This window comes from Homo sapiens, chromosome 7, assembly GCF_000001405.40.
Source record: "Homo sapiens chromosome 7, GRCh38.p14 Primary Assembly".
Lineage (NCBI taxonomy): Eukaryota > Metazoa > Chordata > Mammalia > Primates > Hominidae > Homo > Homo sapiens.
Window position 1 is genome coordinate 3,093,738 of NC_000007.14, and position 24,471 is coordinate 3,118,208.

Genomic DNA, 24,471 nt, shown 5'->3' on the forward strand with positions numbered 1-24,471 from the left:
TTTTTTCTTCAGTAATGCCCCAAGGTTTCCCACAGATAAGAGGAGAAGGTTGGCCAGGTGTGGTGGCTCATACCTGTAATGGCAGCACTTTGGAAGGCTGAGGTGGGAGGATCACTTGAGCCTGGGTGTTTGAAATCAGTCTGGGTAACATAATGAGACCTCATCTCTATTAAAATTAAAAAACTAGCCAGGCATGGTGGTGAACACCTATAGTCCCAGCTACTCGGGAGGCTGAGGCAGGAGGATCACTTGAGCCCAGGAGGTTGAGGCTGCAGTGAGCCATGATTGTACCACTGCACTCCAGTCTGGGCCCCAGAGCAAGATCCTATCTCAAAAACAGCAACAACAAAAGAATAGGATGTTGCCAAAATAGGACAAACAACTGAGCTGAACGTTGGATGTTTTTAATCATAAGCATGGCTTGATTTACATCACTCCCTTCAGAAATGCAAAGGCTTCAGACATCGAGCCAAAGGCAAAACCATTGCAGGTATGTGGGGCCGGGAGAGCCCCAGCGAAGTCAGCTTGGTGCCCACTCCAGGCAGGCACAGGGCCAGCCCTGCTATGCTCCTTATCTCCTTTAATCCCCTAGCAACCCCAGAAGGTAGGTTTGTGATGATCCACACTCTGCAGATGAGGAAACTGAGGTTCAAGAGAGTTACTAACTTGCCCCTGGACATGCCCCTGGGAAGTGGCCGGGATGAGTTGGAAACCCATATCTACTTAGCTCCATGGTCCGGCTCTGTGTGCACTAAGACATCAATTACCCCCCGGGACTGGAAACCAGAAGGAGGCGGGCAATAGGTTGTGTTTGCTGACGGATCCCACCCAGAACTGATCCTACTGGATCTCCCTTAGGGAGACTCAGGAATCCTCACTACAGTGAATTACATGCACAGTTTTGGTGGCCAGAGGGGCATTTAGATGATGGCTACAGGAGTGCTTTTTTGAAAGCTTCATTAACTATACAAGTCAATACCCTATTGCAATTTCCATGAAATGGGTAATTCGGTGAAGTTCTTTTTTAACAAAATGTTGCATCAATGAGGGAATTCAGGGTGGGAGATCAACAGGAAGTTACAGTTGGAACCAATTTCAACCCACATAGAAAGATCCGGAAGCCTTGCAAGGAGACCATCACAGTAATCCGGCGTGAGAGTGCCGAGGCGTAGCTGCTGGAATCATCGCCCATTTTTCTAATTTGCAGCCTAGGAGCTGATCGTGCAACCCTGTTAGGGAGCTAATATAGGATGAAGATGGGACAAGTTGGTGTCGAGAGTAACACGCCGGCTCCTTAGCGGAGGTCTGAAGAACAATCGAGTTGAATTAATTTCTAAGAGACCCCATGACAGATTCTTGATGATGATCCCCAATTAGGGAAACCTCGGTTTCGTTTTTGTTTAATGTCAGGAAGTTAAGAGGCTGTGGGCGGATGGCTGTGAAAGACACGGAGGGTGAAAGCCTTGCCTCTCTTGAAACGTATGGGGCCGTGGCTGCAGGTCCTTTCATGCCTTCTCCAAAGAGGAAGTCGTGAAATCTGTGTGTCTCAGCCCATGTCCAAAGAGGGAAACGCTGTGATGAGAAGATACAGCGGTTCAACTCATTCTGGAGCCCACAGAGGCTTAAAAGAGGGGGAGAATCTGTTTCATGAAAAAGGGAAAGATTCAGTCTTGAACCAGATGAATGTGCCTGGGTGAAAATGCGTCAGTGGTACCAGAAAATCCAGACAGAATCCTTCCTCTGGGTTTTTCCCAAATCAACAAGTGTCTTTGGTTGCTGGGACGCAGGGAGAGAGCTGTTCATGGAGGAGCGTGGGAGGTCACATTCTTGAGGCCTGTTTAGTTTATCCTGTTAAAAGGAGGAGATGTGAGGCCAGGCACAGTGGCTCACACCTGTAATTCCAGCACTTTGGGAGGCCAAGGCAGGTGGATCACTTGAGGTCAGAGGATTGAGACAAGCCTGGCCAACATGGTGAAATCCCATCTCTACTAAAAATAAAACAAACAAACAAACAGAAACGCCTGGCGTGTTGGCTCACGCCTGTAATCCCAGCACTTTGGGAGGCTGAGGCAGGCGGATCACCTGATGTCAGGAGTTCAAGACCAGCCTGACCAACATGGAGAAACCCCGTCTCTACTAAAAATACAAAATTAGCCAGGGGTGGCTATGCATGCCTGTAATCCCAGGTACTCAGGAGGCTGAAGCAGGAGAATCGCTTGAACCCAGGAGGCTGAGGTTGCAGTGAGCCGAGATAGTGCCATTGCACTCCAGCCTCGGCAACAGAGTGAGACTCCATCTCAAAATAATAATAATAATAATAATAATAATAATAATAATACACCATATATTAGGGAAGAGATTTTTGTTTTTTTTTTAAACCACTTTCAGTCTCTTGATATCTCATTGCAAGTAAATAACCAAAGTACAGCCTGGTCTGGACAGGAGATCACCTCAATTTGGGGCAGCTCACACAATACAGTCTAAAATGTGGATGTTGCTGGGGGCGACCTCATTAGTCAGGCAGTCACCCCTGTGAGAGGGCGATGCGTCCCACTGCCAAGACGCTCAAGTACCAATATGGAATGCCAGTCCCTTAAAAGATTTTCCCTCCCTACGTCCCTGCGAAAGAGAGGCTGCCTGGATAATAGTCTTTCAATGTGTTGTGAAAAAAAAAATAGTGTTTCTAGCAAAAGTGTTAAAGTTTTATGGGAAAGTAAATTACTGTCTACCTGGTATAGATGCTTTTCGCGATGTAGCAGGCATTAATTACACATCTGAATGTGACAAGATCAGTCTTCGGTTTACTGAATTGAAGACGGTCTGCTCACCAGGAGGGGGTTTTCCTGAATATCATCAGGGTTCCTCCTCCTACTCCATGTCCGGTTTTACTGTGTACTCCTGGGATGGGATCTGAGGCTGGAAAGAGCTAGAAAACCCCTCCGAGTCCCCCCAGAGAGATGGTAGCCTGTACACCCAGGTGGATTTTGGTCACTGAAAGAATCAGTCTTCTTTTTTTCTCATCTTAAAATATCTGGACAAGGAAGTGGCTAGGATTATTGTGGGAGAAACTAGCTCATTGGTGGTTCTGGGATATGAACCCAGGATTCTCGGCCAGCATTCCAGCAACAGGGACTGATATGCTTTGGCTGTGTCCCCACCCAAATCTCATCTTGAATTGTAGCTCCCATCGTTCTCACGTGTTGTGGGAGGACCCGGCGGGAGATAATTGAATCGTGGGGGCGGTTTCCCCCCATACTGTTCTCATGGTAGTGAATCAGTGTCATGAGGTCTGATTTTATAAGGGGGAACCTCTTTTGCTTGGTTCTCATTCTCTCTTGCTTGCTGCCATGTAAGACGTGCCTTTTGCCTTCTGCCATGATTGTGAGGCCTCCCCAGCCATGTGGAACTGAGTCCGTTAAACCTCTTTGTCTTTATGAATCACTCAGTCTTGGGTATGTCTTTATCAGCAGTGTGAAAATGAACTAATACAAGGACCTTCCCACCCTGCACTCCACAAACACCTTTCAGCAGGCTTTTGTGACTCCCAATTTGAAAGTGCTGCATTCGTTCCTGATGTGAAATGATTTGCGTATAAAGGTAATACAAATCTGAACATTGCTTTTTTGCATCTCACAGAAGCAGAAACATTCTTCTAGAAGAATATGCAACGGCAGAGGATAAAAATGGCCTTTTGAGTCTTTCAGTCATGAAAAGATCTCCCCACCAAAAATACATGAGACCTCTTACCCTAGAACAGTGTTTCCCAAAGTAAGTTCAGTGTTGGTCACCTGTAGACAGGTTGGCTTCCAATACCCTGGCTCTTGACCCTGGAATTCTCCTGGATCACATGGTCGTGGAATGCTTTGGTTGTAAGTATGCCTTGGTGCCTGTCTTCCCTGATACATGCAAGATGTCTAAGAATAGAGGCTGTATCTATTGCGTTCATTATCATCATTCCCAGGATCCATCATGGTGCCTGCCACAAAGTAGATATATGATATTTTGGGATTGAAGGAAGGAGATTCTACATGGAAAAAAGGTTCCATGGTCAAGTACATTAGGAACTAGATAAAAAGCCTTCCTTTTGGGGGCTCACAAAACACCACTGGATAAGACACAGATGGAAAAAAAAGAAAAGCAGGTGTTTGCTCTGGCTTTTTGTCATTCTTGCTGCAGGACTTATCAGAACCTTGAATATGCTGATGTGTATGGTATCATCTCCAAGATAAGGCTGCAATGTGCAGTGGCCCCTGAAGTCACTTGATTGTGTAGCCTCCTCTCCTGGGATACTCAGTAACATTCAAAGGGAGCAGCTGGTAGGAAGGCCTGGAGAAACCCACCTAACGGACCCCTGAATTACAGGGATAGCCAAGGCAGCCCTAGAGAGGCCAGGCTGCTGGGAAGGGCACCAGATAGAAGCAATCTACAGACAGCCCAGAAAGCTGTCATTCCCTCACTCAATCAGCAGATGTTTCTATTTCTGTTAAAACAGGATCAATTCATTTTCCAATCATAAAAATAACAAGTGTGTACAGAAGCCCCATGCCTGTCTTGTTAAGCATTGAATCCTCAGTTTGACAAATATTTGCTGAATGAATAAACATATAATAAATGGTAAAGTAGTATTACAAAGAGAATACATTCTGCTATCAAACCATCCTGAGCACTTTCTTCTGTGACTACTTACCATAAATAAAAATTCCGTGGCGAACCTTATTAAAAATATACCGGGGCCGGGCGCAGTGGCTCACACCTGTAATCCCAGCACTTCGGGAGGCCAAGGCAGGTGGATCACCTGGGGTCAGGAGTTCAAGATCAGCCTGGCCAACATGGTGAAACCTCATCTCTACTAAAAATATAAAAAATTTGCCAGGCATGGTGGTGTGAGCCTGTAATCCCAGCTACTCAGGAGGCTGAGGCAGGAGAATCATTTGAACCCGGGAGGCGGAGGTTGCAGTGAGCCGAGATCGCACCATTGCACTCCAGCCTGGGCGACAAGAGCAAAACTCCGTCTCAAAATATATATATATATATACATACACATACAGATGTATGTTATGGCAGGGATCCCCAGTGCCTGGACCATGGACTGGAACTGGTCCATGGCCTGTTAGGAACCGGGCCGTACAGCAGGAGGTGACCAGCGGGTGAGTGAGCGAAACGTCATCTGTAGTTATAGCCGTTCCCCATCCCTCACATTACCACCTGAGCTCTGCCTCCTGTCAGATCAGCAGCCGCATTAGATTCTCATAGGAGCTCAAACCCTACTGTGAACTGCGCACGCGAGTTCTAGGTTGTGCACTCCTTATGAGAATCTAATGTCTGATGATTTGTCACTGCCTCTCATCACCCCCAGATTGGACTGTCTAGTTGCAGGAAAATAAGCTCAGGTCTCCTACTGTTTCTATATTGTGTTGAGTATAACTATTTCATTGTATATTACAGTGTAATAATAATAGAAAGAAAGTGCACGATAAATGTAATGCATTTGAATCATCCCCAAAGCATCCCCCTAAAACCACCCCCAGTCCGTGGAAAAAACTGTTTTCCATGAAACCAGTCCCTGGTGCCAAAAAGGTTGGGGACCATTGGATTTTGGATTCATGGGCCTCACTGCAGAACTATTGAAGAAGAATCTGACTTTTAAAGGCCTCCAGTGATAGTGCTTCCAGAGTCCTTGGTCTGAGAGCCAGAGAGATCTGAGTTCAAAACCAGGCTCTGGCATTTACAGGTACTGGAGTTTGGGTGGGGAACAATGAGGTAGTTGGCTATCAGCATAAGCTTCTTCCAGCAGAGGGTTAAGCTCAGATACGAAGGAGAAGAAGGAACCAGGCAAGGGAAGGTTGGGGTATATTGGTTTAGGCTCCCCTAGAAGCAGACTTTGAGCCGGAAGTGGGAGTGTAAATAAGTGTATTTGGGAGAGGATCCCAAGAAACACCATCGGAGGAGTGGGAAATGAGGGGGAAGAGGAGCAGTCATTGAAGGGTGCCGGGTAAAACACGCATCTTGGATTTTGGTTGCTGAGAGAGTCAGTCTTTTTTCTCATCTTAAAATATCTGGACAAGGAAGTGGCTAGGATTATTGTGGGAGAAACTAGCTCATCGGTGGTTCTGGGATTTGAACCCAGGATTCTCGGCCAGCATTCCAGCAACAGGGACTGATATGTTTTGGCTGTGTCCCCACCCAAATCTCATCTTGAATTGTAGCTCCCATCATTCTCTGGGGCTTTTCTCCACCAGTCCCTGTAAGCCTTTGCTAAGGAATTACGGGTGTGGTTGGGGCTGGAGGGCGCCTCCATTCCCTGTCACTCTGGTAGCAAATGGTGGCCTGAGAACGTTCTCTGGTATAAATGTGGTCCCAGCGGTTGGACTCTGGAAGCCTGTGTTCACTGAAGGTCATGGAAAGGGGGCAGCATCTATTACAGGGGGCAGGAGTACTCCATGCTAAAGGATTCGAAGACACAAAAGTCCTAATTGGCCAGGCATGGTGGCTCACGCCTGTAATCCCAGCACTTTGGGAGTCTGAGGCAGATGGATCACCTAAGGTCAGGAGTTCGAGACCAGCCTGACCAATATGGTGAAACCCCATCTCTACTAAAAAATACAAAAATTAGCCAGGCATGGTGGCATAAGCCTGTAGTCCCAGCTACTCGGGTGGCTGAGATAGAATTGCTTGAACTTGGGAGGTGGAAGATGCAGTGAGCTGAGATCGTGCCACAGCACTCCAGCCTGGGCGACAGAGCAAGAATCTGTCTCCAAAAAAAGAAAAAAAAAAAAAAAAAGAAGTCCTAATTAAGAGTTTGATGTGTTCAAGGAACAAAAAGAAGGTCAGTGTGACTAGACCGTGGAGAGTGATGGGGAGAATGGTAGGAGTTAAGGCAGTGGTGTGCTGGGAAATAGTTACAACCAGCTCTAAAAAAAGAAGGAGCACTGATTTGTCATGTTTGTCAATTTCCATGGTGTAAATACTCCCGTCATAGCCGACTTCAAGCTGCCAATGTCAACCCTGAACACAGAGCTGGGAAGAGATGTGCACGTTCACGTTCAGCTCTTACAAGCCAGGGCAAGCTGACTCCAGCAAACACTGCAGGGCCGGGGCAAGCCGACTCCAGCACACGCTGAAGGACCGGGGCAAGCCGACTCCAGAACATGTGGGACAAGCCGACTCCAGCACATGCTGAAGGAGGAGTTCAGAAAGGAAAATGGAAAGGTCAGCCTGGGCAACACAGCAAGACCCTGACTCTATAAAAAATCTTAAAAATTAGCTAGGCAAGGTGGTGCTCACCTGTAGTCCCAGCTCCTTGGAAGGGGACCGCTGTGTCTTCCCCCTCTCCAGGATTTACTGCATTGATTGGACGTTCCGAAGCCTTGCAGAGTGGCTACCCCAGGACTTGGCGGTACAGCAGTGAGCAGGACACACAAAGCTGGCCTCTGGGAACTCACAGGTCCAAGCGAAGATAAAAGCCCCATAGGAAGTGGTGAGATGGGACAGACACGCTGGCACTGGAGGAAGTGACCTTTCTACTGAGTCCTGAAAAGTGGCAAGGAGAAGACCAGGGGAGTGGCCCAGAGAAAGAGGCTCACTTGAGCCCAGGAGTTCGGGGCTGCAGCGAGCTATGATTGCACCACAGCACTCCAGCCTGGGTGACAGAGCAAGACCCTGTCTCAAAAAAAAAAAAAAAAAAAGGAAAATAGAAAGCCATTAGAAGTGTTTTAAGCAGAGGATAGAAGGAATGATCTAATTTATGTCTGTCAACGAGCTCTGAGGCTGGAAAACAATGGGCTGACCTGGAGCATTTCGGCATAGACCTAAACTCTATCCACTTTAGAACTTTGGTGGTGGGCACCCCAGACACACCCGGCTTCTGAAGAGCCCAGTTTCCGAGCAAAGAGAGAGAAAATCCCTCGTCAGACCTTCTCATGCTGGGCCGAGATCCATGCTTCCATTTAGATAGCATTAAAGGTCTTCTATAAATTAACAAAACAGGAAGAGCTGCAAATAAAAATGGACATGCCACACCGCCACGGGCATGTGAATTTCCCAGTGGTTCCCATTCGCCGGAGTAAGTTAAAGACCGTGTCAACCTTAACACAAGCTTTGGTGACTTTTGTCAGTTTAAGTAAGACCTTTAATACTCCTTAAACATATTTTTCTGTAAGTAATAGAATCGTGGCAGAGAAACGAAGCTATCTGTCATGGAAACGCCGGCAAAGGAGGAACAGGCGTGTAATAACAGGGGTGCCTGACTACCAGAATACCTGTGCAAATGAAAATTGATTTTCTCGAGAATTCTTCGCCTGATGAAATAAATTAAATCTACATTTACTTCTATTTGTTTAAAAACCTCTTTGTTAAAATAAGTACAGCAGTATATAGACATAATCCAATAAATTAGAGGAGGATAAATTATACCCAAGAACATTCTGCACAGAGAATACACACACAGAGGGGACCCACAGAAGGAAGGCCTGTGAAAAACCACTTAAATGTTTGGCTTAATTCCATTTGTAATGGTAAAACTGACAAACAGATACGTTTGGGTTTCCTAGAGCTTGTTTTATTTTTTTCCAAATCAGTTTTATTATGATTTTAATTTGGAAAAAATAATCTACAGAGTTTCCACTTAGCCTGAAGAAATACAAGTTTAACTAGGTCTTAAAATTTAACACAGCTTGGAAAGTGCGCCAGTAGGAACAAAAACAATCCCTAATGAGAGGAAACAACATTACAAGACTTACATGAAAAGACATTATCTGAGGCCTCATCTTCCTGCCTGAGCCTGCCATCCTGCCTCTGAGACTCTCACTTTCCCCCAACAAAAGGGAAATGTTAAAAGCACAGAGGGGGCCGGGCGCGGTGGCTCACGCCTGTAATCCCAGCACTTTGGGAGGCTGAGGCAGGCGGATCACAAGGTCAGGAGATCGAGACCATCCTGGCTAACACGGTGAAACCCCCGTCTTTACTAAAAATACAAAAAATTAGCCGGGCATGGTGGCGGGCGCCTGTAGTCCCAGCTACTCAGGAGGCTGAGGCAGGAGAATGGCGTGAACCCGGGAGGCGGAGCTTGCAGTGAGCCGAGATGGTGCCACTGCACTCTAGCCTGGGCGACAGAGTGAGACTCCGTCTCAAAACAAAACAAAACAAAACTAACAAAAAAAGCACAGAGAGTTTATTGAGCATCATGTAAGGGCCTGGCACTTGTTTGTTTGAGATGGAATTTCACTGTTGTTGCCCAGGCTGGAGTGCAATGGCATGATCTCAGCTCACTGCAACCTCCACCTCCCAGGTTCAAGCAATTCTCCTGCCTCAGCCTCCCAAGTAGTTGGGATTACCGGCACCTGCCACCATGTCTGGCTAATTTTTGTATTTTTAGTAGAGACGGGGTTTTACCATGTTGGCCAGGCTGGTCTCGAACTCGTGACCTCAGGTGACCCACCCACCTTGGCCTCCCAAAGTGCTAGGATTACAGGTGTGAACCACTGCGTCCGGTGCTGGCACTTGTTATATTAGGTGTGCCTCCCAGGGCGGTGCTGGGAGAGGTGAGGTGGAAGCTTTTTAGTGATTGGCTACATTTATTTATTTATTTTTGCGAATTTAGTTTTTTTTTTTTTTTTTTTTTTTTTTTTGAGATGAGGTTTTGCTCTCTTGCCCAGGATGGAGTGCAGTGGCATGAACTCATCTCCTTGTAGCCTCCATCTCCTGGGCTCAAGTGATTCTCCTGCCTCAGCCTCCCGAGTAGCTGGGACCACAGGCAGGCATTATCACATGCAGAGATTTTTTTTTTTTTTTTTTTTTTTTTGTAGAGACAGGGGTCTCACTCTGTTGCTCTGGCAGGTCTTGAACTCCTGGGTTGAAATGATCTTCCCACCTCGGCCTCCCAAAGTGCTGGGATTACAGGCATGAGCCAGCATGCCTGTAAACTGGCTGCATTTACTCACGCACTATTGTCCCATGGCAGGGTACTGGTGGGTGCACAGAAAAATGAAACTGTTGTCACTGTGGTTGCTCTGATGTCACTGGAGACTGTGAGAACCACACAATAAGGGCAGCTCATGTTGCATTCAAACGCGTCAAGGCAGGTGCGTCACCCCAGGCTCTGAGCACACACCTCATTTCATCCCGAGCCAACACTGCTCCCATTTGACAGATGAGGACGTTGAGGCCTAAAGTGGAAAATTATAGCCAGCAAGTCTGACTCCAAAGCCCGTGTGCCCACATGGCCTTTCTGTCCCATTGCTGGAAGAAGCCGCTGAAGGCACCATGTGTATCTTTTTCCCTAAGGATTTTCTTGTTGCTTTTAAAGGGATGGTAAAAGTGAACAGCTTGAGTTCTGTTTCTACCAAGTATGGGTGCTTACTTCCCAATCCCTGTTTTTGACTTCTGCTTTTTGGATTCCTTCTGAGCTGTTCATAGAAATGGGAACATTATGTACTCTTAACTTCCAAGTCGAGCCCAGTCAGATTGGTGCATCCAGAAACCTAACATCACCCAGCGTCATCTGAAGAACCTGCAACTTTTGAGTTTTTGGAACTGAAAGCAGACTAGGAGCTGTGCAGAGCTAATGGCCTCCTGCAGAAGCCGAACGACTTTGTTACATTAGGTGTCTCCACACCCTGACCCCAATCCCTCACCCTTCTCCTCTAGTACCCCTGTGTCTTCCCCATCTCCAGGATTTACTGTGTTGATTGGATGTTTCAAAGCCTTGCGGAGTGGCTACCCCATCCCAGGACTTAGCTGTACAGCAGTGAGCAGGAGACACAAAGCTGGCCTCTGGGAACTCACAGGTCCAAGCGAAGATAAAAGCCCCATAAGAAGTGGTGAGATGGAACAGAGACCCTGGCACTAGAGGAAGTGACCTTTCTACTGAGTCCTGAAAAGTGGCAAGGAGAAGACCAGGGTAGCGGCCCGGCAAAGATGTAGATTTGAGAAAGAGAGGAATTGCTGGGTGCTCTGGAGTCATTCCATAGGGTTGGAGGAGTGGGAAGAAGGAATCCCAGGGAATCAGGAGGATGCTTTGATGGGTCAGGCTAGGGAAATTGAGCAGCCTTTCTCAGCAGGGCAAAGGGGACTCACGGAGGCTTCAAAGCAGGGGAGGACTTGGTTGGATTTGCGTTTTACAAAGACTTTAGAAAGATGTCTCTTCCATTATTAACAGGCCACTCCATGCCAGCCTCTTGTGAAGGGCCTGTCCAATGCATCAGCCCCCAGGTGCTCAGGCTCAAACTCAGGGTTCATCTTTCCTTCCTGTCTCCTCTCCCTCTGCAAGTGCAATTCAGGGAATTAGCAAGTCCTGAGACCTCACCTTAAAATTTCATCCCCATCCTGGTCTGCTTCTCCCCACCCCACACCAATGCCTTTTCAATTCCTGTGGCAGCCTCCTCCCTATCTACCTGCCTTCATGTGTCCGCCCTCCGCTCCTCCCACTGCAGCCCATGGGCCTCCTAACATGAACATCCATCCCTTTGCTCCCCTGCAGGAAGCCCCGCCCTGATCTCCTGCTGCTCCCGGGATGAAGCCCAAGCCCCTTCTCTGGCCCCAGGGGTCTGTGTGGCCTGGCTTCTGCCCACCCCAAGCCACATTTTCCTGCCCACTCCACCCGACCTTCCCACTCTGGCCACCGGAGCCTCCATTTCTCCAGTGGCCATGCCCTTCCCTGCCCTCCTGACCTGGCACATCTGTTTGTTTTGTTTTTTGAGAGAGTCTCACCCTGTTGCCCAGGCTGGAGTGCAGTGGCATGATCTCAGCTCACTGCAACGTCTGCATCCCAGGTTCAAGCGATTCTCGTGTCTCAGCCTCCTGAGCAGCTGGGATTACAGGTGTGTGCCACCACGTCCAGGTTTTTTTTTTTTTTTAGTAGAGACAGGGTTTTGCCATGTTGCCCAGACTGGTCTCAAACTCCTGAGCTCAAGCAATCTGCCCAACTCAGCCTCCCAAAGTACTAGGATTACAGGTGTGAGCCACCACACCCAGCCACTTTTTGTTTCTCTTTTGAAATGGAGTCTTACTCTGTCACTCAGGCTGGAGTGCAGTGGCAGGATCTTGGCTCACTGCAAACTACGATTCCTAGGCTCAAGTGATTCTCATGCTCAGCCTCCCGAAAATAACACTCACTTGACCACTCCCCCATCAAGATGTAGAGTCTAATTCTTTTCCCTTTTAACTTGGCTGGGTCTTAAGGACTTGTAAGCAATAGAATATGATGGAAGTGATGCCATGTGACTCCAAGCCTAGATCAACAGAGGCCATGCAGTGCCCACCTGATTTCTTGGAATGCACACTCTCAGGACACCCATCTCAGTACCCCTGCTGGGCTCTCAGCCACCATATTGTGAGGAAGCCCAAGCCACATGGAGGGGTCAGTCTTCAAGACTTTCCAGCCCAGGGGCCAGACATGAGGAGAGAAACCTCTCAATGATTCCAACCCTAGGCATTTAAGCCACCTCAAATCACCTCCCCAGCTGAACCCCCATACTTCAGGGAGAGAGACAAGCCATCCCTGCTGTGCTCTGTCCAAATTTCTGGCCCACACAGTCTCTGAGCATATACAATTATTTTATATCCTTATGTTTGGGGGTGGTTTCTTACATACCAGTAGATAACTGTAACAGCTGGCTATGAAATACCCATTCCCCACATTCCCTCTCCCTTGCTAAAAGGTTTTGTTTGAGGTGGCCATGTGCCTAGCTAAATACTGGCTCTCCCAACCTGTCTTGCAGCTGGGGTGGCCCTGGGACACAGTGGAAGTCTCTGAGAAAATGCTTTCTTTCCTGTGAAGAGGGAACAGTGCAGCTTGTACCCTCTGTCCCTCCCTTTTCTGCTTAGAATGAGAACACAGTGGCACAGTGGCTGGAGCTGCAGCCATCACTCTGTGATCTTGAGGGAAATGTGGGTTTCAAAGTTACCAAGTGGCTGATTCAACACAGGGAGCTATGACTCGACCTTTCTGGTTAGGTGAGAAAAATAACCCCCTTTTGGTTTGAGCCTCTGTAGCCAGGATTCTTGTTGATCAGTTCCACGTTTCTCATGTATGCTACACTTGTATTCTCAGAAGCCATCTCCCCACCAGACCACAAGCTCTGTGAGATTAGGGACAGGGTCTGTTGTGTTCACCATCACATGCCCTCACCCTGAGGCTGGTACATTGGAGGTTTTCACGTATTTGTTGAATGCTATCAAATTCTATCAAATGCTATCAAAGGACACTGAAGGTTTTCTAGGTGGTTAGACACAGAGTCTCAGAGACATTTCCAGCCTGACAATTTCATGGATGAGGAATCTCCAGGAGGAAGGGTTGGGTCAGGGTTTCTCAGTCTCATTCTGGCACCTGTTCCCAAGGTCGCCAGGGTCCCTGGAATCCTTACTTCTCTGTGCACTTGGACTGGGTTGAGGTGGAGAAATCGCCTGCCGTTGGAAGCTTCCTCTGCGGCATTTCTTCCCCTGGTATTAACAAATGTTAATTGGAGGCAATGATCACTGGCCTTTCGTGTGCCCTTTAGGCTACCGTAATTCTGTGACTTCACTGCAAAAAAAAAACCAACCTTGTAATTTTACTTGGCCTTACAGAAAAATCCTTAGAGGATGCATTCTAAGACAAGAGGAAGTCCAGACAATTTTTTTTTTCTCTTTTGCTTGTGGGGTTGATTCTGCTCTGCATACAGATTTAGGTCGCACGTGTGAAATCGCGTACTTATTTTAAAATGGAATAAACACGCAGCCGGCTTTTATGGCCATCTTCCCCCACTGCATTTCATTCTGACGTCCTTTGGTTACAAATGACCAGTCACATAGCTGGTCTAACACTCACACTCTTTCCTGTGAAGAGGGAACAGTGTGGCTTGCACCCTCTGTCCCTCCCTTTTCTGCTTAGAATGAGAACCCAGTGACTGGGGCTGCAGCCATCACTCTGTGATCTTGAGGGCTTTTAGGGCTTGGTGTACTTGTGACTTTGTCATAGTCAGTAAAAAGCTACTCATTTACTTTCCTTTGCCTGGTGGCCTCCAAGTTGTCTGTGTGCATTCTTGGGCATAGGTCGGACTACCTTTGGGAGGAACTTAGTTTATAGTTTGAAACAAAGATGATAACAGCCCTTTCCCAAAACAAACCCCCTTCCTGCCTGGGGATGAGAGGGCCTTTGTAGGACTAACAAATTAGCCACAAGATTAGAAATAAGGGTTTAGGAGTCACACAGGCGGAGGCTGCAAGATTCTAAGCCTCCCCAAATTGTTTTTGGGGATAACGTCACTATTGTAAAACCCAAGACCAGCGCTTGAGATACTTTGCAAACCCTGCACTTGATGGATCAGCTGGCACCACCCAGATCGATAGACTGGCTCATCTGGTCTTGTGGGCCCCACCCAGGAACTGACTCAGTGCAGGAAGACAGCTTCAACTCCCTATGATTTAATCTCCTTCCTGACCAGTCAGAACTCCTTATTCACCGGCCCCCTACCCACCAAATTATCCTTAGAAACTCCGATCCCTGAATTCTTGGGGAGACTGATTTAATAATAAAACTCTGGTCTCCCACACAGCTGGCTCTGTGTGAATTACTCTTTCTCTATTGCAATTCCCCTGTCTGGATAAGTTGGCTCTGTCTAGGCAGCAGGCAAGGAGAATCTGTTGGGCACTTATAGCTTTGTGTCCTTGGGCTATGTTCTTAGCCTTCCTGTGACTCATTTTATCCACTGTACACAGGGATGTAACTGAATTGAGGATGAATTTTTTTTTTCTTTGAGGCAGAGTCTTGCTCTGTCACCAGGGCTGGAGGGCAGTGGTGTGATCTCTGCTCACTGCAACCTCCGTCTCCCAGGTTCAAGCGATTCTCCTGCCTCAACCTCCTGAATAGCTGGGATTACAGGCATGTGCCACCATGCCTGGCTTATTTTTGTATTTTTAGTAGAGTCCGGGTTTCACCATGTTGGCCAGACTGGTCTTGAACTCCTGATCTCAGGTGATCCGCCCGTCTCGGCCTCCCAAAGTGCTGGGATTACAGGCAAAAGCCACTGCGCCTGGCCAAGGATGAACTTTGTTAATGCGTGAAAGGCGCTGAGAGCAACACCTGACACGCGTTATATGAAAACAACAAATTCTGGGTGTCTTTGCATCCATCTGAGCAGAGAGACGGCTGTGTCTGGAGCCAGCCCAGGGAGGCAGGAGGCGTTCCCTGACATGACATCTCAACAGTGTCTTCCAGCCTTGATTTCTCCACTTGTAAAATGAAAGAGATCATATACTAGTTAGTGAAACCTTTGGCAATCTCAGATGAAATGTGTGATGAGGATGCAGAGTGTTATTGTAATTCCACGATTACAATCTCTGCAGAGCCGGGAGGCAGGAGGCTGGCGGGATACCACTGCCTACACACATACCTGAGGAGTTTTCTGTGTGTCTGTGAGGTTTCTATTGAAAACAAGATTCACAAAGGGAAAATCACCACCAGTCCTGGCCCCGCATAAAAGATAACAAGGAGAAGATAGAGCCTGAAATACCAGGGAGGTGAGACACAAAGAGTCAGTTAATAAATCCATCGAAAGCCCGTCCCCAAACACTGAAGCCAAATTTCATCTTGGAACACTTTGCATAACAAGCAATTTAAGGTAAGGCGGACCCCCGAGAGCTACAGAACGTTTAAATGATGGGCAAATATTTCTGTTTGGTTGTTAGGAGAAATGACTTTTTGAACTCCAGTCTTTGAGTAAAACATGTTTGACCAGCTATAAACAGATTCAAACTATTTGCTTTTGCGGGGCTCCCATTTCATTTTCATGAGGTTAGAGAGTGGCAGGAGATCACTTCGTGAGACAACAGGTTGTAAAGGTTGAAGCTGGTAGCTACGGTACTGAATTGACTGAAAAATACACCACAACCCACACTGCTGTTGAGCCCATTCCGTTGGATGAGAGGACTTGCAATAGGAGTGCTGGCTTCCATCCCTGTCTGCAGGGGAATGTTGGCACCAGAGATGAACAGTGGGCCGTTGGGAATAGAGAATTGCAATTTTTTAAAGAGATAAGATCTTGCTCTGTTACTCAGGCATTTGAAAATGCTTCTCAAAAGACATCATGAAGATAAGCCACAGAGGCTGTCATCCCAGAACTTTGGGAGGCCAAGGCTGGAGGATGGCCTGTGCTCAGGAGTTCAAGACCAGCCCGGGCAACATAGTGAAACCCCATCTCTACAAAAAATAAAAAAATTATCTGGGGATGGTGGCACATGCCTGTAGTCCCAGCTACTTTGAAGGCTGAGGTAGACGATCGCTTGAGCTCAGGAGTTTGAGACCAGCCTGTGCAACAGAGTGAGACCCCATCTCTACAAAAAATACAAAAATTAGCTGCGTGTGGTGGCACATGCCTGTAGTCCCAGCTACTCCAAAGGTTGCGGTGGGAGGATCGCTTGAGCTCAGGTGGTTGCAGCTACAGTGAGCTGTGATCACACCACTACACTCCAGCCTAGGGGACAGAGTGAGAACCTGTTTCAAAAAAATTAAAATAAGCCACAGAATGGAAAGAATATTGGCAGCACATGTATCTGACAAAGGACTTGTGCAGAATATGTAGAGAACTCCTACAAATTAACCCTGAAGAGAACAACTCCTAAAAAATGAACAGAAGATTTGATCAGGCCCCCTCACAGAAGATCTAAGAATGGCCAATGAATACATAAAAGATTCCCAGCCGGGCATGGTGGCTCACACCTGTAGTCCCAGCACTTTGGGAGGCCAAGGTGGGTGGATCATGAGGTCAGGAGAGTGAGACCATCCTAACACGGTGAAACCTCATCTCTACTAAAAATACAAAAATTAGCCAGGCGTGGTGGTGGGTGCCTGTAATCCCAGCTACTCGGGAGGCTGAGGCAGGAGAATCGCTTGAACCTGGGAGGCAGAGCTTAAAGTGAGCCAAGATCATGCCATTGCACTCCAGCCTGGTGAAAGAGCTAGACTCTGTCTCAAAAAAAAAAAAAAAAAAAAAAAGAAAGATTCCCAATGTCTTGAGTCATCAAGGAAATGAACGTGATCACCATGGTAGACACAGTGGCTAAATTTTAAAAGATCGACAGTCCCAAATGCTGACAAAGATGTGGGGAACATGGACGGCTCCATGCTGCTGTTTGGAACATGGAATGGCACCGTCTCTCTGGAGTGCTGCTGATTACAAAGAGCAACACGTACCTACCCTATGACTCGGCAATTCCCCTTTGGTGTTTAGACAAGAGAAATGAAAACGTACGTTCATAAAATGACATGCACTAGGATATGGATAGCAGCCTTGTTCAGAAGAACCCCAGAGTGAAAAGAGCCCAGATGGATACCATGCATCTGGGTCCATCGTGGTATGTTTATGCAGTGGAATACTATGCAGCAATAAAACTACTGATATGAGTAATGATGTGGATGGTTCTTAAAAACTATACTGAGACTGGGCACGATGGCTCATGCCTGTAATCCCAGCACTTCGGGAGGCTGAGGGAGCAGATCACATGAACCTAGGACTTCAAGACCAGCCTGGGCAACATAGTAAAACCTCATCTCTACAAAAAAAATACAAAAATTAACCAGGCATTGTGGTGCATGCCTGTAATCCCAGCTACTTGGGAGGCTGAGGCAGGAGGATCTCTTGAGCCCAGGAAGTTGAGGCTGCAGTGAGCTGTGATTGCACCACTGCACTCCAGCCTGGGTGACAAAGCAAGACCTTGTCTCAAAGCAACCAAACAAAAAACTATACTGAACAAACAAAGCAGGAGACAAGAGTATAGGCTGCATAAACCCATTTATATGAAGCCCAGAACAAACAAAGCAATCTGTAATGATAGAAAGTGGTCACCTGGGGAGAGGGAGGAAATTGACTGAAAAAGGGGAGAAAGAACTTTCTGGGCTGATGGTGGCATCTAATCTTTGCTATCTGATATGGTGGCCACTAACCTCATAAAATGTGACTTGAATTGTGGCTGGTATGACTGAGAGACTAAATTTTTAATTTTATTTAATTTTTCCTTAGAGGCAGGGTCTTGTTCTGTCATACAGGCTGCAGTGCAGTGGCATGATCACAGCTCACTGCAGCCTCGAACTCCTGGGCTCAAGCAATCCTCCTGCCTCAGCCTCTGGAGAAGCTGGGACTATAGGTGTGCATCACCATGCCCAGCTCATTTTAAATTTTTTCGTAGAGAAGAGGTCTCACTGTGGTGTTCAGGCTGGTCTTGAACTCCCAGCCTCAATCAACCCTCCTACCTCAGCCTCCCAAAGTGCTAGGATTACAGGCACTAGCCACAGCACTAACTGTTAAAAATTAACCTCCAAATTGAGATGTGCTGTAAGTATAAAACAAGCACAAAGTTTCAAAGACTTGTTACTGAAAAAAGAGAACAATTTCTTATCATTTTGTATTAAAATCATGTTTTAAATACACTGGGTTAAAAATATAATATTAAAGTAATTTTCACTTGTTTGTTTTACTTTTCCAAATGTGGCTCCTAGAAACTTTAAAATTACATGTATGGCTCTTGCTCCATTGCTATCAGACAGAGTTGGTCTGTGTTTTGTTTGGGTAGTGGCTACCTGGGAGTATGTAATTATCAAAACTCGCTGAACGGAATGCCTAAAATCCGCGCATTTTGTAGTGTGTTAATTATAGTTCAATTAGAAAATGACACACACATGACCCCTGCTTGACTCAGACACGGTAATAGAAATTGGGAGGCAGAAGTGCAATGACTGTGAGGGAGAATGAAAGGTGCTGCAATGTTCTATTCCTTTCCAGGAGTTTAACTCTAAAATTGAACCTAGCTTTATGATACGTTCAAGGAGTGGGAGTCTGTTGAATTTAAGAGGCAAATTTAGGCAGAACAGCTGGCTAATTAGTGTGCTGCCCTGGGAGCCATTGTGTTTTACAAGTGAGAAGGTTCCATAGCCCCAGGACTGGTTTCTCTAAGCCCTAATCTCCCCCTGAGGGCCTGGACTTGCCCTACTGGAGAGGGCTCGACTGACTCCTCCCCTGAAGCAGCTCACACACTACACTGTCTCCCCGTCCCTCAGACCTTGTCCTCAAAGAAAAACCCCAGTGCCAACCTGCTTAGGCTCAAGTGCATTTTCAGGGGAGCAAAATCTTTTGACCAAGAAGATACCTTTCCATCTGCTACAGGCAGGCCAGGAGCCTGGTGGCATGAGGGATGTTGACTTCCTGAACCCAGGTGGCAACGTGGCAAAGGGTGGGGTTAACCACTCCATCTATCTGCCCTGACCAGGGTGACCACAGCTTTGGGCTGGTTCAGGCAGGAAGCACAGATGCATGCTAAGAGTTTCCACTGTGGGTATGGAGGGGCAGGAAGTCAGGAGTAGTGGGTGAGGAGTGGGAGAGGACCCTGAAAACAGGGTTGGATGGATGGTTGTGCGAAGAATTGTGGTCAACATCAGCTCCATCCCCATCTGATTCTATCCTTTGTTGGGGGGGGGTGGGGAGTCAGACGTGCAGACACAGCTTGGCAGCAGGTGCAGAGAATGACCAAAAAGCAAACACAATGAAAGTGAAGGTCATGAGCTTTGGACCTTCCAGATGTGGGTTCAAGTCATGGCTCTGGTGCTAGCAATGCAAACTTGTACATGTTACTTAATTTGCCTAAATCTCAGTTTCCTCTCCTGTAGAATAAAGACAATAGTAGCTGCTATAAAGGATGAGTTGGAAGTTATGTTAAATGGGGTGATGTCAGCTGAGTGTTTGGTAAAGGGTATCATTGGTTCTGGGTGGTGGCTGTATTCTAATGGGGCCCTAGCCAATGACTTTTGAGACAAAGGAGAGAATGAAGCCCCCATGGAGTGGGTCAGGGCCACAGCCAAGGAGGGTGAGGCTCACAGCAGTGCTCCCATTCCAGCAGAAAGCCAGAGGGCTAATCAGAAAATGGGTGGGCTGCTCATCTATATTTTATGTCTTAGGCTGTGTTCTCTAGAAGCAGATCTTTGGGGAAGAATTCATGTGAAAGTGAAAATCCCCTGGTAGAAACTGCTCTTAGGAAAAACTAATTGGAAAGTAGGGAAGCAGGACCAGGAAGAGAAGGTGGCCAAGGGAGGGCACAATATCAAGCAAAGTCTCACAGAGAACCATAGTAGCCACCCCAAGATGGCACCCAAGGATGCTCCCCTCATGGTATTTCTGCCTTTGCATATCCCTGCTCCCACTTTGAATACGATGGACCTGTTTAACAACAGCGATTGTGAAACAGATGGAGTGTGGCTTCCAAGGCTAGATCACAAAAGACTGCAGTGTCTCCCTTGCTCTCTTGGTTCACTCACTCTGGACGAAGCCAGCCACCATGTTGTGAGGATGCTCAAGTAGTCTGTGGAGAGGCTGATGTGGTGAGGAACTGAGGCCTCTTGCCAACAACCACTCCAACTTGCTGGCCTTATGAGGGAGCCTTCTTGGAAGCAGATCCCCCTGTCTCAGTTGAGTCTTGAGGTGACGCAGCCCAGCTGGCATCTTGACTGCCACCTCATGAGAGACATAAGCCAGAATCACCCAGCTAAGCCACCCATGAATTCCTGACCCACAAAAACTGTGCTTTGGATTGAATATGTCCCCCAAAGTCCATGTGTTGGAAACTTATTCCTCAATGCAACAATGCTGAGAGGTAGGACCTCTAAGAGGTGATTATGTCATGAGGGCTCTGCCTTCATAAATTAATGTTATTATCATGGAGTGGGGTTTTTATGAAAGCAATTTCACCTCCCTCTCCCCCCTCTCTCATCCTTTTTTGCCATGTGATGCCTTCTGCCATGTTATGGTGCAGCAAGAAAGTCCTCATCAGATGCAGACCTTTGATCTTGGACTTCCCAGCCTCTAGAACCATGAGCCAATAGATTTCTGCTCTTTATAAATTTTCAAGTCTCAGGTATTCTGGAGAAGCAGCACAAATTTGATTAAGGCACCCTCTTAGTGGCATTAATGCCCAAAGCATATGCATACATTTCCAGAGGTCAGAGCCCCCTAGAACTTTGGTGCTTAGAAATAGGAATGGATTTCTGAATTCAGAGGTAACACGCTGCCTCATATCACACACTTGCAGCTTCCTTTATGTAACGTACCTTATTGATTTCTATTTAATAATGACTGATGCAGCTCTTGGGCCTTTACCTGATGAATCAAAGCTGTCTGTCAAATAGGAGAGATAGGGCAGGAGTGAAGCATTATTATTCCAAAGCACAGTCATTAGATTAATAGTAAGCTCCAGCAACACCATTAACGTGGGGAGAATCGATGAAATAACAGAGGCAAGGCTGCCTCCAGATAAGATCACTGCTTCTCTAGCATGTGTCCTATTTATAGATCATATGTGTTCACTCTACCTTTGGCTCTTTCTTCCATCGAGGGCTCCCAAGTGAGCTGATTATAATCTTTAAGACTACGTGTCAGCAGCATAAACCACCATCACCATCACTCCTTATCCTTGACCCATCGTCTTCCACCTGCCCACCAGGAAAATTAGACAACACTCTGTTGCTTTGTTTTGGAACAAAGACATTTTTCACAACTTTCCCAAAAGAAATTTTTGTCTCACCATGATCAATCTTTTCCTAGAATTTGGGAAAATAAAAACTTTAAGGCCATAAATAGTAAACTTTGAAAATCATTTCCCCAAATGGATTTCCCTGTGCCCTTCTGTTCACAAACAGTTAGCTCTCCCAATTCATAGCTTGTCAGCAAAGTGACTTTATTTTAATGTCTTTAGTTTTTATCTTCTCGATTTATTATTCAGAATAGGTGGAGAGAAGGGGGGAGAAGACCCTTTCTCTGGAAGGTACTCCTTTCTGAATCTAAGGAAATGATTCTCTAGTTCTGTACTAGAGAGTTGAGTGAGACTAAAGCTGGTGGTGTTAGGAAGGTGGGCAAGGTCGTCACTGACAGCTCTCTTAAGAATCTTAAGCATGTATGAAGGGATGGACAAAGAAAGACCACCAGTGGATGAAACAGAGTCTCAGTGCCATGTGAAAAGTGGCCAGCCTTGAGAGATCCCTTTTAGCCATCACATCCATCCCTGCAACCTGGACAGCACCTCCTCCACTCAGGACCTCCTCCACCTCCTCCACTCTGAGATCCACCCCCTGTCCATGGCTCATTCTGAACCACAGGCTTCTTCCACGCCTCACTCTGCCTGCCATCTTGGCTTGAACCCTCCCAGCCTCTGAGCTCACTGATCATACATTGATTATTTTTCTGTGTCTAGCCTCATCTTGCCCTTCGGACTTGATGCTTTGATAGGATTCCAGTTTTTATCTTGAGCTATTATTGACTTAGTTCAACTTCCCTCTTGGTTCAACTAAGCCACAGCACATTTCCTCTGCCCTCAGTGTCTGCCCCTACCCCAAGAAGAGTCATCTTGCCTTTCCCTTGCCTTTCCCCACAAATAGGACCTTAATAGAGAGATATGGGACCTGGAGAGAGACATCTAGAGTCAAGTCAGAACAGATTAGAGCAACCTGTGGCCCAAGCTGGCATCTCTTTCTCTTGGATGTTCTCTGTGTACCGCTGTCCCTCGATAACTTTACACGTGTGAAGGTAACATTTAAGAAAATAATTTTCCCCCACATCCCGCTCTGTGCATTGCCAATGGTTTCTAATCAGATGGCTTGAGGTCTCCCCTCCACCCCCAATTTTCCTTTATGCTTCATATTAGAACTATGGACTTTCTACTGATGGCCTATTAAAATGTATCTTTTGATTAAAATCATACAGCTCATCACCAAACATGCCAAGCCATGATAATACATGAAGGGTAAAACTTGGGCACGTAACTCATAAATTCTAAATGATGATGACTCCATTCTTCTCTCCCTTTGAAAATTTAAGATCAAAATCCTGTAAAAGTGGAAATAATCTGAATGCTCAACAACAGGGATGGGTAAAGAAATGGACTCGCCCTAGTAAACAATTAATGATCGAGTTCGCAAAGACCACTTGGTGACTGCTGCGTGAAAAAGATGGGATACGAAGACCTGTCTTCCATGTAAGCCCCATTCTGCAGTGGCCTGCAGCCTCACCTGGGGCACTGGCCTGCAGGTCTGGGACCATCTCTATCTTCCTTCCAAGTCTTGCTGGGGAGGGCAGGCCAAGTCAGTTGTGAGAGTGCAGTCTCGATGATGTTAGAAGCGTAGGGTCCTTAGCAGGACGTCAACTAAGGTTGCAGTGAAGGGCTGCAATTTTAAGCCAGGCGCAAGGTGGAAAAAGCCTGTGGTGCTGGTGGGTGGTAGAGAGTTGGTGGTGAGGAGGGGAGTGGGGCAGGGGAGGATAAGAGGAGAGTGGGGAACCACAGGGATGGAGTTGGGGAGGACTGGTCGTCCACAATCACCGTAATGAGAACCTGAACTAGCAATGGCAAGTCTCCTCAGGAGATGGTGTTCAAGCCCTATCTTTACTCTTTGGAGCCTATCTTGATTGTTTTTTAAATGTGATTTTTACAGAGGCACAGAATGAATAGAATCTGTGTCATGCTGACAGTTCACGGGGCTGAGTTCCTGTCTGTTCCATTTCGTGTCCTGCTGTGTCCTAAGCAGGAACACACATCCAGCCCACAGAGACTGGGGAGTGACCACAGAATGGGAGGTGGGGTGTCTGTGGCAGGCTGTAGCTCCCTGGGCTGAGGTTCACTGGATTAAATCAAATAAACAACAAATACCTTTTCTTAGTATAAATATTTGTATTGACTGTTTCTGGCAACCATACCTGGACCCTTCATTTATCAGAAGAAAAGATTAGGTTAGAATTTACCACTTTCATGGAAGGAGGGGGAGAGGGGAGAGGAGAGATGAGAAAGGGGAGGGGAGAGAGGAAAGAGAAAGGAGAGAGAGGAGGGAGGGAGAGAAAGAGGAGAGGGAGGGAGGGAGAGAGGGGGATGTTGAGAGATAAAGAGAGGGGGATGTTGAGAGATAAAGAGGGAGGGAGAGAGAGAGAGGGAGAGGGAAGAAGGAGGGGGAGAAGAGAGGGAAGAAGGAGGGGGAGAAGAGAGGGAAGAAAGGGGCGGTGCAGAAAGACGGAGGGGGAGAGGAGAGAGAAAGAGGGAGGGAGAGAGAGGAAAGCAGGGAGGAAGGGAAAGGGAGAGGTTAAAAGAGAGATTGAGAGAGGAGAGGCTTCCTAGCACTTCTCTCCTCCGAGCGCAGAGCCCTGTTAGAACAGCCTGTCTCCTTTCATGAAGCTTCTCTGCCACCTTCTCTCCCACCCTCCTGCATTTGTCCCTTTTGGAGACAGCACTGGAATTTACCTGGAATGAGCCTTCTCTCTGCTCCCCTTGCACACGGGCTGGCTGCCAGCAGCTTTCTCCACCAGCCTCCGACAGAAACCCTGCAGAGCTTCCATTCTGCGTTCAGCCACCATCGCCTCCCACCCAGTGGTTTCTAAACAATCTCTGAGCAAGATTTTGGTTTTATCAGCCTATTAACTTCTCCCTTTTTCATTTTGGGGAAGGGGTCCACCAACATTCATCTTGTGCTGAACA

At 47.1% G+C, this 24,471-nt stretch overlaps 1 long non-coding RNA gene across 1 annotated transcript; it reads right to left on the reverse strand.

The window, feature by feature from the left end:
- Window positions 1–388: 388 nt before the first annotated feature.
- LOC105375130 (uncharacterized) lies at window positions 389–24,297 on the reverse strand. Its single transcript, XR_007060191.1, has 2 exons — window positions 24,238–24,297; window positions 389–1,848 (listed from the first exon to the last, which is right to left on the reverse strand). It is a non-coding gene; the product is annotated as an uncharacterized LOC105375130 (long non-coding RNA).
- Between the last annotated feature and the right edge of the window lie 174 nt (window positions 24,298–24,471).